Here is a 16455-nt window from a genome sequence, read left to right as displayed (position 1 = left end):
TACATAAATCTGCTTTGAGAGCCAAGTGCCAAGTAGGACAGGACAAATGTCCTAGTCCTAATGTACACATTTTCTACATATGTATATATTATATATATTTATTATATATATAATATAAATTTATTATATTATATATAAAATATATATAATATAAATTTATTATATATTATATATAATATAAATTTATTATATATTATATATAATATAAATTTATTATATATTATATATTATATATATTTTATTATATATATTTATTGTATATTATATATAAATTATATATAATATATATACTATATAATATATAATATATATACTATATAATATATTATATAGTATATATATTATATATATAGTATATATATATTGCATATAGAAGACAGTTGGCTGGGGATGGCTGGTGCCTGTAACTCCACTGCTTTGAGGGGCCAAGAGGGGAAGACAGCTTCAGCCCAGGAGTTTGAGACCAGCTTGGGCAACATGGCAAGAGCTCATCTCTACAAAAAATAAAAAATTAGATGGTCATCGTAGTGCATGCCTGTAGTCCCAGCTACTTGGAAGCCTGAGGCAAGAGGACTGCTTGAGCCCAGGAGTTCAAGGTTGTGGTAAGTTATGCTTGCACCACTGCATTCCAGCCTGAGTGATAGCGTGAGATCCCATCTCTCAAAAAAAAAAAAAAGAAAGCTATCAGTAAACCAAATAATTCTATCAGATAAAGTTCCTACAACTTCTTTTAACAATTTCTAGATTAAATTGGTACACATATATTGAAGGTTTTATTAATTAAAATACACATAGATTTCTGTATCTCCATACTTATTGTTAATGACATATAATATTGTACTATGCTCATGATATGGTTAAGGGCCCAATATTTCTAGAAAAATCTGGGTCAATTATATTAGACTGACCCTCAGTTTGCTCTTCTGTAAAAATGACACCATGACCTACCTCATAGTTATTGCAGGGAATAAATCTGAAACAATCAAGTACAATGACTAAAACAATGCCAGCAAAGTCCAAGAACTCGGTTGATGTTCATTTTCTTCACTATTCCGATTGTGGGTCTATCAGCTATTTATCTTTTCTCATTATTACAAACAGCATATTAACACCTTGGAACATTTTTACTTTTGCAATTATTTCTTAAGGTAGATCTCACGAAAGGTTATGATGTATTTTGGTGATGTTTGTGAGCAGAATGCATTTCAAAAATATTAACTTTGATACAAACAAAATTGTGCCTATATCCTCTCAGTGACACATTATATTTGCTCATTTTACTTCTGTAATGGTTGGGTTTTTTTATTTTATTTTAGTTCAGGGGTACCTGTGCAGGTTTGTTACACAGGTACACTTGTGTCATAGGAGTTTGTTGTACAGATTATTTCATCACCCAGGTATTAAGACTAGTACCCATTAGTTATTTTTCCTGATCCTGTCCCTCCTCCCACCCTCTGATAGGCCCCAGTGTGTGTTGTTCCCCTTATGTATCCATGTGTTCTCATCATTTAGCTCCCACTTATAAATGAGAACATGTGTTATTTGATTTTCTGTTCCTGCATTAGTCTGTTAAGGATAACGGCCTCCAAGTCCATCCATGTCCCTGCAAAGGACATAATCTCATTCTTTTTAATGGCTGCATAGTATTCCATAGTGTATATGTACCACATTTTCTTTATCCAGGTTATCTTCGATGGGCATTTGGGTTGATTCCGTGACTTTGCTATTGTGAACAGTGCTGCAATGAACACAACACATGCATGTGTCCTTATAATAGAACAATTTCTATTAGTTTGGGTATATACCCAGTAATGGGATTGTTGGGTTGAATGGCATTTGTCTTTAGGTCTTTGAGGAAATGCCACACTGTCTTCCACAATGGCTGAACTAATTTACACTCCCACAAACAGTGTACAAGTGTTCCTTTCTTTCCATAAAGAAGAGTTGTATCTTACAGTTAAATTTTATTTCAGAGATTGAGCATCACATACTGATTGTGTGCAGCTAAACTTTTTTATGCCTCAATTTCCTCATTTGTAAAATTACAATAATAATATTGACATCTCATGAACTGTTGTGAGGATTAAATGAGTTAATATATATAAAGTGCTCGGCCTATAACATAGTAAGTGCTATGTAGGTGTTTATTTCTTTGGTTATCTCAGGAAGTACATGCTCTTAGGTAGTCATAAAATAGGCTTAAGAAGGTAGGCTTCAGCAATTGATAGAGGCTAAATTAGGCTCTGTCAAATGCAGATTGTATCGTTTTGGCACAATTATCTACCTTTGTAAACCTCATCACTAATATGAGGATAATAGTATTCAGAGATAAGGTATAAAGAGCTTAGTATCTGTGGTGTTATGATATATATATATAGGTTTTCGTCTCATTAGTCTTTGTTATGATGTTGGGTGTGTTAGGCCTCAGGGGAAGGTCTCTGACCTTCTCCTGCCCTCCTTTCACTTGGCCCAAGCCAGGACTCTAATCTTTCCTGGACTTTCTGATTGTGGGTCTTAACATCCTCCCCAGAGAGAGTCCAGCCCTATATCCTGGTGGACAGAATTGTGATGTCAGGAAGCCTCCATAAAAACCCAAGAGAAAGGCCGGGCGCGGTGGCTCACGCCTGTAATATCAGCACTTTTGGGAGGCTGAGGTGGGCGGATCACCTGAATTCAGGAGTTCAACACCAGCCTGGCCAATGTGGTGAAACCCCATCTCTACTAAAAGTACAAAAATTAGCTGGGCATGGTGGCAGGCACCTGTAAGCCCAGCTACTCGGGAGGCTGAGGCAGGAGAATTGCTTGAACCTGGGAGGCAGAGGTTGCAGCAAGCCAAGATCACGCCATTGCACTCCAGCCTGGGCAACAAGAGCAAAACTCCATCTCAAAAACAAACAAACAAACAACAAAAAACAAAACACCCCAGAGAAATGGGTTCAGAGAGCTTCCAGACGGCTGGACATATGGAGATTTCTGGAGCGTGGTGCTCCAGGGAGGGGACAGAAGTTCCATGCCCCTTCCCCTATACCTTGCTCTGTCTCTCTCTTCATCTACATCATTTGCAATATCCTTTATAATAAACTGGTTAAGTGTTTCGCTGAGTTCTATGAGCTACTCCAGCAAATTAAACCCAAAGAGGGGGTTGTAGGAACCCCAATTTGAAGCCAGTTGGTCAGAAGTTCCAGAGGGCCGGACTTGCAACTGGTGTGGCACGAGGCAGCCTTGGAGACTTGAGTGCCCAACTTGTGGGATCTGACACTATCTCCAGGTGGATCGTGTCAGAAGTGAATTGGAGCAGCTTGTGTCTGCTGCTTGGTATGTGGGGAAAAACCTCCACACATTTTGTCACAGAAGTCTTCTTCTGTGTGGATGATTATTGTCATGTGGGAGTAGAGAAAAAACACAGTTAAAGAGTTTTCCCTAGACAGCACTGTGGTGTCAAAACTCACCAACTGGCCAGGCGCAGTGGCTCACGCCTGTAATCCCAGCACTTTGGGAGGTTGAGGCGGGCAGATCATGAGGTCAGGAGTTCGAGACCAGCCTGGCGAACATGGTGAAACCCCGTGTCTACTAAAGATAGAAAAAATTAGCAGGGTGTGGTGGTGCGTGCCTGTAATCCCAGCTACTCAGGAGGCTGAGGCAGGAGAATCGCTTGAACCTGGGAAGCAGAGGCTGCAGTGAGCCAAGATCGTGCCACTGCACTCCAGCCTGGGCGACAGGGTGAAACTCTGTCTCCAAAAACAAAACAAAACAAAACAAAAAAAACTCGCCAAGTATTATATATGCTGATTCTTATATGAACAGTCTATTCAATATAACTAGGTATTATCTTCATAGATCTATATATATCTGGATTAAGCAGTTAATATTATGTGTAGTATCCAATGCATCTGCCTATTACCCAACACATTTGCCTACTTTCTCATTTTCTACTAAATTTATCAAATTTGAAACTGATGTTCCTATTTTATAAATAGGAAACATCTTCTTACTAGAGTTAAGTCTACTCTTAGGATTTAAGAGTTTTTCTTATGTTTAAATGTTTAGTTCTCCCAGAATTTTTTTCAGTATATTTAACGATAAAGGATAAATAGCTGTATCATGACAGTGTCTGACAGTAGTTCCGAGGACCATCTGGCTCTGACATTTCTTCCTAGGTGCTGGCATGTGCTGGGATTTGGCCAGGACAAAGGCCCCTTTTACACTTGTATTCACTGGCCCATGCATCCTGTTGAACCCTCCTAGCCCCAGGTCTTGTGTGCAGGCACACCCCACCTGCCTGCAGCTACTGGAGAGAACACCTGCAGTCAGAAAGTGCTCTTCTCCCTGAGACTCATCAGCATTCAGGCTTCTTTCTTGATGGCAGCAGCATGTACCTTGGCCCCAGGTAGTAGATGAACACTGGAACCCCACAGGTTTGGGCTCATAAGAAACCCTTGTGCCTAGGCTGGGAGAGGCCAGACTATAAGGAAAGGGAGAACTCTTGTATCTCTTCCTTGTTCCACAGTGATTAGTGTCAGATTTTTTTTTCTTTTTCTTTTTTGAGGCCACCAGGCTGAGGAGCCTGCAGCTTTAAAGGGTATCTGTTAGGCAGGAACCTTGTGAGAAAGAATCGTTCACAACAAGTGTGAAGGGAGACTAGAGAGTGAAGGCAGGGAGACGTGTCAGGGCCTGTCTGTGGTCTAGGGAGAGGTGATGAAGCCACTGAAAAGGTCATGGAGAGTCACCATGGGAGGCAGTATTCCTGAAATCCAGTGGCCAGGGTGTGGAGGAAAGGGATGGCACACATGTATCTAGAGGAGGCTAAGGAAAAGGGAATAGGAGTGACCATGAGCTCAGCTGGACATGCTCCTTGGATTTGTGTGTTTATAGTTTTCACCATATTTCAAAAATTTGGAGCCATTATGTCTTGAAATAGTTTTTGTCTCCCCTCTTCATAGACTCTAAGTACATAATATTAGAATATATGATTTTGTCTCAAAACTCACTGATGTTCTGTTTTCTTTTTTGTAGATTTTTTTTCTCTGTGTAATTCATTTTGGACAGTTTCTATTGCTATGTATCCCAGTTCACTAGTCGTTTGTCTGCAGTGTCTAATTCTCTCCAGTGTATTTTTAAATTTCAGGCACTGGGTTTTTCATTTGCAGAAATCTGATTGAAGTCTTTTTATCCCGTATCTTCCATGTATCCCCTTACCAGGCTCATGTTTTCCTTTACCTTCTTGAACACAGGGATATAGTTATAATAACTGCAGTAAAGACTTGTCTACTAATTCTATCATCTGTATCATATGATTTAAGATTCTATGTTCTTAAAAAAATGACTTGCACAGGGAAGCAAAGTCATTAATTCAATACATAATATGAAGTGCCAATTTTGATTCATTTCTGGACTTCCTATTCCCTTTGTCCTATTTTGATTTATTAAATAAATTATTACTCATTTTGTATCATTACATATTAGGATTGTTTTAAAGTTGGCTAAGCCTCTGCCCCAGTGTTGCTGTTTTACTTGTTATAAATCATCGCATTTGTTGCAAATTTTTCCACATAAATTTCCCTAACACTTCCTCAACTTACGCAAACTATATTAGAATTTTAACTGGTATTATACATTAAGCCATATGGGACATCTTATTTTTAAAACACTTCGTCTTCATAGGCAGGAAGAATAAAAGTTCTTTATTTCTGACATTTAACTTCAGCAATAATCTTCATCAACCTATTCATCCATCCATTATTTATCCATATTCTTATGCCCTGTTATATTTCTTTGAAAGCCCTCGATTAATACAGAGTCTCCACAAATTAACGGTCTTCTCTACTCCTTCCCAATATTCATACTTCATTTTTTCATGGCTCATTACAGATGTCCAAAACTGCTGCACACAAGTGGTGACAGAGAGCACCTAATTCCCTTCTATTTCACATAAATATCCCTTATTGCATTTTTGCTTTTCTTAGCATATTATCAGAAATGAACATTACATGTTATTAAATGATATAATGTATGTTGACATATTATTTCAAACATCTTAGTTAAATGATAAATGATTAATAATTTTTCTTATATTAAATTGGCTTCAAATTCTTGATACTAATATTATTTGATCTTTAGTGAATCTATGCTTTAATGTGTGGCTATGATGTGTCAGCTAAAATTCTTATTTAGAATCCATTTACCTGTGGGTATGTAAGCGTGTGTGTATTTTTTTTTAAGATTTGGAGATAGGTCTGTGGCGAACTTTATTTTGAGCTAATCCCTGCTTCTCGTAAGTGACCTTTCACACACTAACCACCTAGTCTATTGTAATCTTGAGAACCATAACCATAAGGAGGCAAAATAATTAAGAAGGCAGTTATATGGTTTTTTACTTTTTCATCAATTCCATACCATCGGGAGTAACTAAATGAAACATACTTCAAAGAAAGAAGTCAAATTAAATGACTGTCATTGCCCATTAATAAAAACAACAATCTGAGCTTAACAAAAAATTTAACAAACAGGGAAGACAGAAAGATGGTATATTTATTGCCTGACTACACTGGCATAACTCACTTTAACAAAAATTATCACATTTAATAATATAACCTGTTATAGCTAAATATTAAACACATATTAATTAGGGCCAACTTTGAAGGATTTCTAATTCATCCATTTCCTTATTCACTATTATATATGAAGCACTACACTAGGTGCAGGGTCATTATAAACAAGTTTTTTCTTTGGGAAACTTACAAGCTAGTGCAAGCACTGAAAAACATTTTCTGTAAAGGGCCAGATGACAGTATTATAGGCTTTGGGGGGCCATACAGTCTCTGCTGCCAACTACTCAACTCTGTCACTGTAGGGCAAAGAGTCATAGACAATATACAACAAATGAGCATGGTTGTGGGAGAAAACTTCATTTACAAAACAGGTGGTAGGCCAGATTTTGCCCATGGACTAGTTTACCAACACATTCGCTAGTGGAAAATAATTAACTAGCAATTTCAATTTGATGTGACAAATACAAATAGATGTAGGCAAAGGTTGTTATGGGAATATGACCTAAGACAATCAAAGGCCTCTTGGGAGGAGGCAAGAATCCAACTAAAGACTTCAATTTCTCAAATTCAGCAAATAAAAGTAGCTTTTTATAATGTGTAACCATTATAAAACAATTCAAAACCTCATTCTGAAAATGTACAACATATTTGATAAAAGAATTGCTTTAATATATGATATTCTCTATTGTTTCTCAAAATTAACCATAAGTACAATTGAAAGCTTACCTTGAGTGACTGTTTTGAGAACAATTAAGGTTGATAAAAATCTCAATGGCAAATTGGAGCTCTTAAAGAAAGCAGCTGTCTTTGGTTTATTCTCCACAGAATGCTGTGGAGAATTATCCTGAATTCCTTTAGTTACCACTCCTTTAAAAATGTCTTCACCCAATCTCCTCAATGTTGATGTCATAGTCGAGTGCTGTTAAAAATATGTACAATCTTAGTATATTTATTCATGTTCAGAATATATCTTTTTTTTTGAGACACAGTCTTGCTCTGTTGCCCAGGTTGGAATGCAGTAGCGCAATCATGGCTCACTGCAGCCTCAAACTCCTGGGCTCAAGCAATCCTCCTACCTCAGCCTCCCAAGAAGCTGGGACTACAGGCACTCACTACCACACTCAGGTTTTTTTTTTTTTTCGGTAGAGATGGGTCTCACTAAGTTGCTGAGGCTGGTCTCGAACTCTTGGGCTCAAGTGATCCTCCTACCTTGACCTCCCAAAATGCTGGGATTACAGGATCATGAGCCACTGTGCCTGGCCAATAACTATTTTAAATATTAAATCAAATATATGTATTAAAAGTAAGTGAAATCTGTGGCTAATTTAAAGTTGAAAATATGTAAAATTGGAAAGTGACAATTTTATCAACTTAAAAAATTATTTGTGACTGTACATTTTTCTAAAACATGTAAGAACATAAGATCATGCTATATTTCTGACACAGAGAAATAGCAAGGGAACAGAGGTGGACTACCTACTCTCTCAGTTGCTGATTGCTCCACCATCAATGAAAACCAGCTTATCAGGCACATCCTTCTGTGTTCACTTAAGAAATGATTATCTAGAGCCTCAGTCCCTTCAGCTAACTCTGATTTAAAAAGTCATAGTGACTCCAAAAACTTTTAGCAATTTCAAAACAGTAAAATACTGGGTTAGAATCATAGATAATTCTCATGGAGAATAAAACAAAAAAAAATGGGCAAAATAGAAATAGTAGCATGAAACTACCTCTAAAATAATATATGATCTAATGGTATTTGATATATCTATTAAGAATAAAATGAGGCTGGGCGCGGTGGCTCACGCCTGTAATCCCAACACTTTGGGACGCCGAGGCAGGCAGATCATGAGGTCAGGAGATCGAGACCATCCTGGCTAACATGGTGAAACCCCATCTCTACTAAAAATACAAAAAAATAGCCAGGCGTGGTGGCGGGTGCCCATAGTCCCAGCTACTTGGGAGGCTGAGACAGGAGAATGGTGTGAACACGGGAGGCGGAGCTTGCAGTGAGCCGAGGTCGCACCACTGCACTCCAGCCTGGGTGACAGAGCGAGACTCCATCTCAAAAAAAAAAAAAAAAAATCAAATGAAAGGAAAGCATTTCAAACTGTTGCAGATCAGAATGCTTAAACCAGATTTGGTAAAAACTTAAAATTTCCTTTATTATGACCCAATTCTCCAATCTCATGTGACTGAGTTTTTATAGCAGTTTCCCCTATCTGCATGAAAATTTGTGACCAACTGGTTCCTAACTCAGTATTGATCCTGCAATGTGGATAAGTTTTAGCTTTTAAATTTCTGCATCTAAAATTAAAAACAAATCTATTGAGGTTTTACAGGTGACAAAGGCCAAATGGTTGAGTGGTCAGACACACAAGCAGTGCAATCTAATTTAAATATATTGTCAGTACAATTTTTATATTATTAGAAAAAAAATACATGTTTTTAAACCTTTGTGTAAAAAATAGAAAAAAATGTTCAAAACTCTACTTACAATAAGTGTGTTAAATGACAGGATTAAGGTAAACTTTTTTTGTTTTTAAAATTATCTCTAATGCTTTACTACTACACTTTTATAATGAAAAAATAAACTTGAAAAAAAAATGTGGGCCAGGCACAGTGGCTCACGCCTGTAATCCCAGCACTTTGGGAAGCCAAGGCAGGCGGATCACAAGGTCAGGATATCAAGACCATTCTGGCCAACATGGTGAAACCCCGTCTCTACTAAAAATACAAAAATTAACTGGGCTTGGTGGCGTGCACCTGTAATCTCAGCTATTCAGGAGGGTGAGGCAGGAGAATCGCTTGAACCTGGGAGTCGGAGGTTGCAGTGAGCCGAGATCGTGCCACTGCTCTCCAGCCTGGATGACAGAGCAAGACTCTGTCTCAAAAAAAAAAAAAAAAATGTGGATAGTATTTGCCTTTAATTGAAGGAAAAGAGAAAAAACTCCAAAAATAGCACTCTGGGTTGTTGCTGAAGCTTCACCTAAGGATGTTAAAACTTTTGCTGAAACAAATCTAGACCCAAAATGTCTAGTTTTCAATTTAAAATCACCCACCATTCCAAGGACCAGAAAGATTTCAAACTGAATGAAGAAAAGACAATCAACAGCTGCCAACACCGACAGGACAGAATGTTAGAATTGTCTGACAAAGATTCTAAAGTAGCCATGACAAAAGGAACACCTGCATACGCTTTTAGAAAATCTCATCGAAGACACAGAAAGTCTTACCAAAGAAGACATAGAAAAAGAACCAAGTGAATATTTCAGAACTGGAAATACAATAACAGTCTCAATAACAGAATGGAGAGGATGGAGGAAAGAATAACTGGAAAATAAAACAACAGAAAACACCCAACCTGAACAACTGCAAACAACCTGGAAAAATAACAACAACCACCAGAACTTCAAGGAATAGCAAAACATCTAAAATCACGTCATTAGAGTCCAGGAAAGGAAAAATCAGGTAGGGCTGAAAAAGCACTTGAAGAAACTGGGGGCGGTGGCTCACGGTTGCACTCCCGGCACTTTGGGAGGCCAAGATGGAAGATCGCTTGAGCCTGGGAGTTCAAGACCAGCCTGGGCAACATAGGGAGACCCTATCTCTACAAAACAAAAAAAAATTAACCAGGTAAGGTAGTACATGACCGTGGTCCCAGCTTGAGCCCAGGAGGGTGAGGCTGCAGTGAGCCGTGATTGTGCCACTGAACTCCAGCCTGGGCAACAGAGCAAGACCCTGTCTCAAAAAAAAAAAAAAAAAAAAAAGAAAGAAACACACACACACACACACACACACACACACACACAAAACATGAACTTGAAGAAATAATGACTGAAAACTTCCTGGACTTGGCAAAAAACGTGCCCAGAGACTGAAGAAACTAAACAAACACCAAACAGGCTAAAATAAAGAGATCAACACCAAGACCCATCATAGTCAAACTTATAAAAACTAAAGACAAATGTGTGTGAGAGAAATGACACCTTACATATATGGGGAAAATAACTCAAATGACAGATTTCTTATCAGAAACCATGGAGGGCAGAAAGAATTGGCACATTTTTCAAGTACTGAAAGTAAAGAACTGTCACACTAGAATCTGATACCCAGTGAAAATATCCTTCAGTAATTGAAAGGAAATCAAAATATGTTAAGAAAAACTAAGAGTTTGTGTCATCAGCAAACCTACTCTAGGCCAGGTGCGGTGGCTTATGCCTGTAATCCCAGCACTTTGGGAGGCCACGGCAGGTGGATCACTTGAGGTCAGGAGTTCGAGACCAGCCTGGCCAACATGGCGAAACCCCATCTCTACTAAAAATACAAAAAGTAGACAGGCATGGTGGTGGGCGCCTGTAATCCCAGCTACTTGGGAGGGTGAGGCAGGAGCATGGTTTGAACCCAGCAGACGGAGGTTGCAGTGAGCCAAGATCATGCCACTGCACTCTAGCCTGGGCAGCAGAGTGAGACCCTGCCTCAAAAGAAAAAGAAAAATAACTACTCTAAAGAACAGATAAAGAAGTCCTCTAAACAGATAGATAGGATATAATGAAAGAGGGAACTGTGGCACATCTGGAAGGAGAGAAGAACATAGTAAACAAAAATATGGGTAAATACAATAAACTTTCCTTCTCTTCTTGAGTTCTATAAATTCTGTTTGACGGTTGAAGCAAAAATGGTAACATTCTCTAATGTGGTTCTAAGCGTATACAGAAAAGGTTAAGGGATAAAAAGGGAAGTAAAGCTTCTGTGCTTTATTCAAACCGGTAAAATGACCATACCAATAGACTGAATAAGTTCTACATAATGTTGTAGTGAATGCTTATAATTTGATGTTGCCCTGGCATTCATTTTAAATGTAAGTTGGACTTTTTCACCCTAGAAGCAGGGATCAGTCACTTTTAACACTGTTTCCAGTTTTAAATCCCCATCCCCTCCCCCAGTTCCTAAATATGTTTGATTCAGATATCTGCCTTAGACAACTCCTCCCTAATGACCACTTCCCTATGGAATAGCTAGATGAAGCCCGCACAACTTGTCTCACAGACCCTCACACCTCACTACGGACTGTGTGAACATGCCACAGTGACTACCTCCTAGAACTCATGTCTGCTTGCTTTAAACTCAACAAACAAAACAGCCTGTGAAAAACCTGTATGGGTAACATCCTGGACTCCAATAAGGGCACTTGCCCACAGGTCCCTTTCTCTCTCTCTCGCTCTCTCTCCCTGCCTGTGCTTCCTGACTTCCAAGTATGTGGACTCCAGGTTTGCCATGTAACTCCCAGGACCTAAAAGTAATAAATTCTTTATTTCAGCCAGATGGGTTGGCTCACGTCTGTAATTCCAACAATTTGGGAAGCCAAGGCAGGAGGATCACTTGAGGCCAAGAGTTAGAGACCAGCCTGGGCAACAAAGCAAGACAATGCCTCTATCAAAAAAAAAAAAAAAACTTTTTAATTAGCCAGGTGTGGTGGCGAACGTCTGTAATCCTAGCTACACAGGAGGCTGAGGCAGAAGGATTGCTTGAGCCCAGGAGCTGGAGGCTGCAGTGATCTATGATCATCACTGCACTCCTGCCTGAGCAACAGAGTGAGACTCTGTCTCAAAAACAAACAAACAAACAAACAAGAAAAACCCTTTACTTCCAACTTCTATGACTTCTAATCATTGGAGGGGTACTCTCCATCTTAAAGATCCTAAATTAAAACAAATGTAATACCAAGAAGAACTATTAGAAAAGTTATACAAAGAGATACACTCAATACACTATAAAGGAAAATAAAATTCTAAAAAATGTTCAAGTAACCCATAAGAAAGCAGAAAAATGAACCAAAGAAATGAAAAAGAGAAACAAAAAGAACCACCCAGTAGTTAAAAAAATAAAGTTACAGCTTAAGCCCTAACATATCAATAAGTACATTACATGTAAATGGCCTAAAACACCAATTAAAACAGAGCTTGACAAAGTTTATTTTTTCTAAATGCAGCTGTATGCTATTTAATTAAAAAAACTCATTCTAGATATAAGCAGGTCAAAAGAAAAAGACTGGGAAAAGATATATTTTTAGAACATGAATCAAATGAAGCCAGAAGTCTCTATATTAGTATCAGATAGAGATTTCAGAGGCAATGCAAATGTTCAGAGATAGAGAAGGACATTATAAAATGATAAAAAGGGCAAATCCACCAAGACATAATCATAAATTTACAAGAACACAGTTACAAAATATGTGAGGCAAAACAGATGAAGGTTATAACATATAAATCTACAATTATAGCCAGAGACTTCAACATCCATCTATCTCTCCACACTTGATAGAACAGGACAAAGTATCAGCAAGGATATAGAACAACTCACAAACACCATCAACCAACAGGATCAAATTGACATTTATGCAACACTCTACCAAACAACAGAATACATATTCTCAGCCATAAAACAACCTCAACAATACAACTAAACTAGAAAAACAGAGTAACAGAAACACAACAAACTTCTAAAGAACTCAAGGGTTGAGCCAGACACGGTGGCTCACACCTGTAATCCCAGTACTTTGGGAGGCCGAAGTGGGCAGATCACTTGAGGTCAACATGGTGAAACCCCATCCCTACTAAAAAACAAACAAACAAACAAACAAACAAACAAAAAACACACACACAAAAAACACAAAAATTAGCCAGGTGTGGTGGTGGGCATCTGTAATCCCAGCTACTTGGGAGGCTGATGCAGGAGAATCACTTGAGCCTGGGAGGTGGAGGTTGCAATGAGCCGAGACTGTGCCAGTGAATTCCAGCCTAGGTAAGAGAGTGAGTGAGGCTCTGTCTCAAAAAAATAAAAAGAAAAAAAGAAAAAAAGAAAAAAAGAAATGAAACAAAGAGATGATCCTTTGAAAGATCAATAAAATGGAGAAACAGAGAAACTTCTAGCAAAAGAGATGAACTAAAGAAAGAAAACACAAATTATCCATATCAAGAAGGAAATAATGCTACCACTACAGATACTGAAAACATCAAAAGGATAAGAGAATACTATGAAAAACTCTACACACATAAATGTGCATACATTTGAATGGTTCAGTCCCTCAAAAAGCACAAACTACTACAAATCATCGATATGAATTACATAACTAGAACAGCCCTGTAACTATTAAAGAACTTAAATTCATAATTTAAAACCTCCCCCAAAAGAAATCTCATCCACATAGTTTCACTGGAGAATTCTACCAAATGTTTAAAGAATGAACACTTAGTCTACATAATTTCTCCCAGAAAATATAAAGGATAAGACCCTTCCCAATTCATTTTATGAACCTAATATTGCCCTGATACAAAACCAAAGAGAGTTCAAAACTATAGACAAATATTTCTCATGAATATAGAAACAAAAGTCCTTAACAAAATATTAGCAAATAGAATTTGTTAATATAAAAACATATAAAAAGAATTAAACACCACAACCAAGTGGGTTTTATTTCAGAGACTTTAATATTTCAAAGTCAATGTAATTCATATTAACAAGTTAAAGATGAAAAAGAACATGTATCAATCAATGCAGAAAAAGTATCTAAAAAAATTCAACACGATTCATGATTTTTAAAAAACTCAGAAAAATAGGAATACAGGGGAACTTGATTGAAAGTATCTATGAAAATACTACAGCTAATATTATACTTAGTAATGGCAGAATGAATTTTCCTCCTAAGAGGAGAAACAAGGCAAGGATGACTACTCTCACCATCATATTCGACATACTGCTGGAAACTCTAGCTAATGCAATAAGGTAGGAAAAGGAAATTAAAGGCATACATATCAAAAAGAAAAAAAAAACACAACACTGTTTTCATTTGCAGATAACATGATTTTCTATGTAAAAATCCTGAGGAATCTTCAAGAAAACTCCTAAAACTAGTAAGCTCAGGGTCACAGGATACAAAATAAACAAAAAACAATTTTACTTCTATATATTATCAATGAACATGTAAACATCAACAGTAAAAAGACAATACCAACTAAAATTGCTCAAAAAATTTAAATACTCAGCCAAAAAGGTAAACAAGAATGCAGCAATTTTATGCTGAAAACTATGCAACACTGATAAATCAAAGTTCTAAATAAGTGGACAGACATTTTATGTTCATAAATTGTAAGACTCAACAAAGGAAAGATGTCAATTATTCTCAAATTAATATACAGGTTTAACACAATTCCTATCAAAATCCCAGCAAGACATAGATAGGGAAGATTATTCTGAAATACAGAGAATATATTCAAAACAGATATTGTGAAACAAGATCAAGAAGTAATATTAGGTGGAGTATTACTTATAGATAAATTCCTATTAACCAATTACCTGTGCTCCAGCATCTAGCTGCCTTAGGGACCAATATATAAATTTTACAAAAGGCTCGTGAAGTTTGATATTCACAAATGGCATCCACTGTAGCTGCTCTGTCATTAGAGGCAAAAGCTAAAGATAAAATGATGGAAAATAAATACAAAGGCACAGTATTTTTAAATGTCTTAAATCAATTACCACAATTTTCCAAAATTATCTTTAAAAACAAAACAAAACAAAAGAGTTCTCCAACAAAAAACCTTCACTTTAAAACTATATGCAATACAATTTGGCAATATGTATTTTAGTTCTTATATATGCATTTTCTTTCATCCAGCAATAACAGCACATCTAGTTTAAGGAGATTAACCTACACAAAGATACTCTATGAACCTTAAATGATTAAATAAGTTTATAGTATATATGTAACCATTAAAAATGATAACCTAGATTTATATTTATTGCCATGGCATATTCTGGGGTGAAAAAAGGTGTTTACAAGGAAGCAAATGGAATAAAAATCTCATTTATATAAACTATATCTATATAAATTTATACTGAAAAAGATATATGAAAGGATTTTTTAAAATGCTGGATTTCAGAAACTGGAGTACTATTTACTTGTTTATATGTCTACATTGCATGCATATCTTAATATGCTAATTTATAAAAACATTTAACTGTTTAAGGATGTCTATGAATTTTGCTTCAAAAGTATATCATTTTGCTAAATGATTTCAGGACCATAAAGACATATTCTAAGGCTCTAACAGAATACTCCCACTTCTGAGATACCAGCCTAAGAAAATCGATTTAAGAAGATCCCTCCAAAAGCCATGTACAAAGATATTTATTGCTACACTGTTTATAAGAGTAAAACCTGGAAATAATTGTATAGCAATCAGGAAAATGGTTATGTCAACTGTATAAAGATTCTCCGGACTAATGATTATGAGTGTATTGTGTGTATATACATATATGTATTTTGTAAAATTTTCTGTATATTATGATGTTTTGGACGTCTTAAAAAACCTTTCCAGTTGGGGAGAGATTGCCCCTCCCTGGACCAGCCAATTCTTAGATACAGCAAAGTGCTCGGCCTAGAGTATGCCTCTGATAGACAAATTAACCAATTCAGAGCCAGACCCCTTCTATCTGGCCCTTGTATCCCAGGAGGCAATATTCTCTGCCGTAATCTTACCAGAGTCACTAGGGACCACCCCTAGAGCTTAGTACTGCCAAAATTATTCAAACTAACCAATCCTATTTATTCACCCTGCCCTGCATTGCCTTTCATGTGGAAACCACAATAAAGGGTCTGCCCAGTGCTTTCCCCTTGACTCCTGTCTTCCTACCATCTGACCACTCTGGTGTCTTTAAAAAAAAAAAAAATCGAAAAAATTATAGACACCTCATAAGTTGAGAAATCTCTAAATAGTATTTTTATGGAATAAAATTTACTAGCCATATACTCTCTTACAGTCATAATCTCAGTAAAATTTTATATAAACTTCTCCCCCCAACTTTTTAATAAAGACATGCATCAGTTAATGACAGAGATACACTC

At 37.0% G+C, this 16455-nt stretch overlaps 2 protein-coding genes across 48 annotated transcripts in view, besides 1 other annotated feature; both read right to left on the bottom strand.

Moving 5' to 3' along the window:
- The window catches only part of RANBP2 (RAN binding protein 2), a 1122820-nt gene that overhangs the window by 988097 nt on the left and 118268 nt on the right, over window positions 1-16455 (bottom strand). The window lies entirely within an intron of this gene.
- The window catches only part of CCDC138 (coiled-coil domain containing 138), a 98736-nt gene that overhangs the window by 31281 nt on the left and 51000 nt on the right, over window positions 1-16455 (bottom strand). For 29 of the 47 annotated variants that reach the window (XR_007069665.1, NR_147236.2, NR_130121.2 and 26 more), the window contains 2 exon segments: window positions 14904-15020; window positions 7275-7467 (listed from right to left, as the gene is read on the bottom strand). Coding sequence is in view for 38 of the 44 variants with exons in the window: in XM_047443558.1 (XP_047299514.1) it covers window positions 7275-7467; window positions 14904-15020 (310 nt within the window). In the remaining 6 variants the exon portion in view is untranslated. 47 annotated transcript variants of the gene reach the window in all.
- Window positions 7976-8176: a silencer, noted in NCBI's record as "peak3811 fragment used in MPRA reporter construct". NCBI's record gives its function as "represses an SCP1 promoter by STARR-seq MPRAs in K562 erythroleukemia cells {active_cell/tissue: K562}" and the evidence as "EXISTENCE:reporter gene assay evidence [ECO:0000049][PMID:32103011]".

This window comes from Homo sapiens, chromosome 2, assembly GCF_000001405.40.
Source record: "Homo sapiens chromosome 2, GRCh38.p14 Primary Assembly".
In the NCBI taxonomy this organism is placed as follows: Eukaryota; Metazoa; Chordata; class Mammalia; order Primates; family Hominidae; genus Homo; species Homo sapiens.
This window is presented reverse-complemented; position numbering and strand designations above follow the sequence as displayed.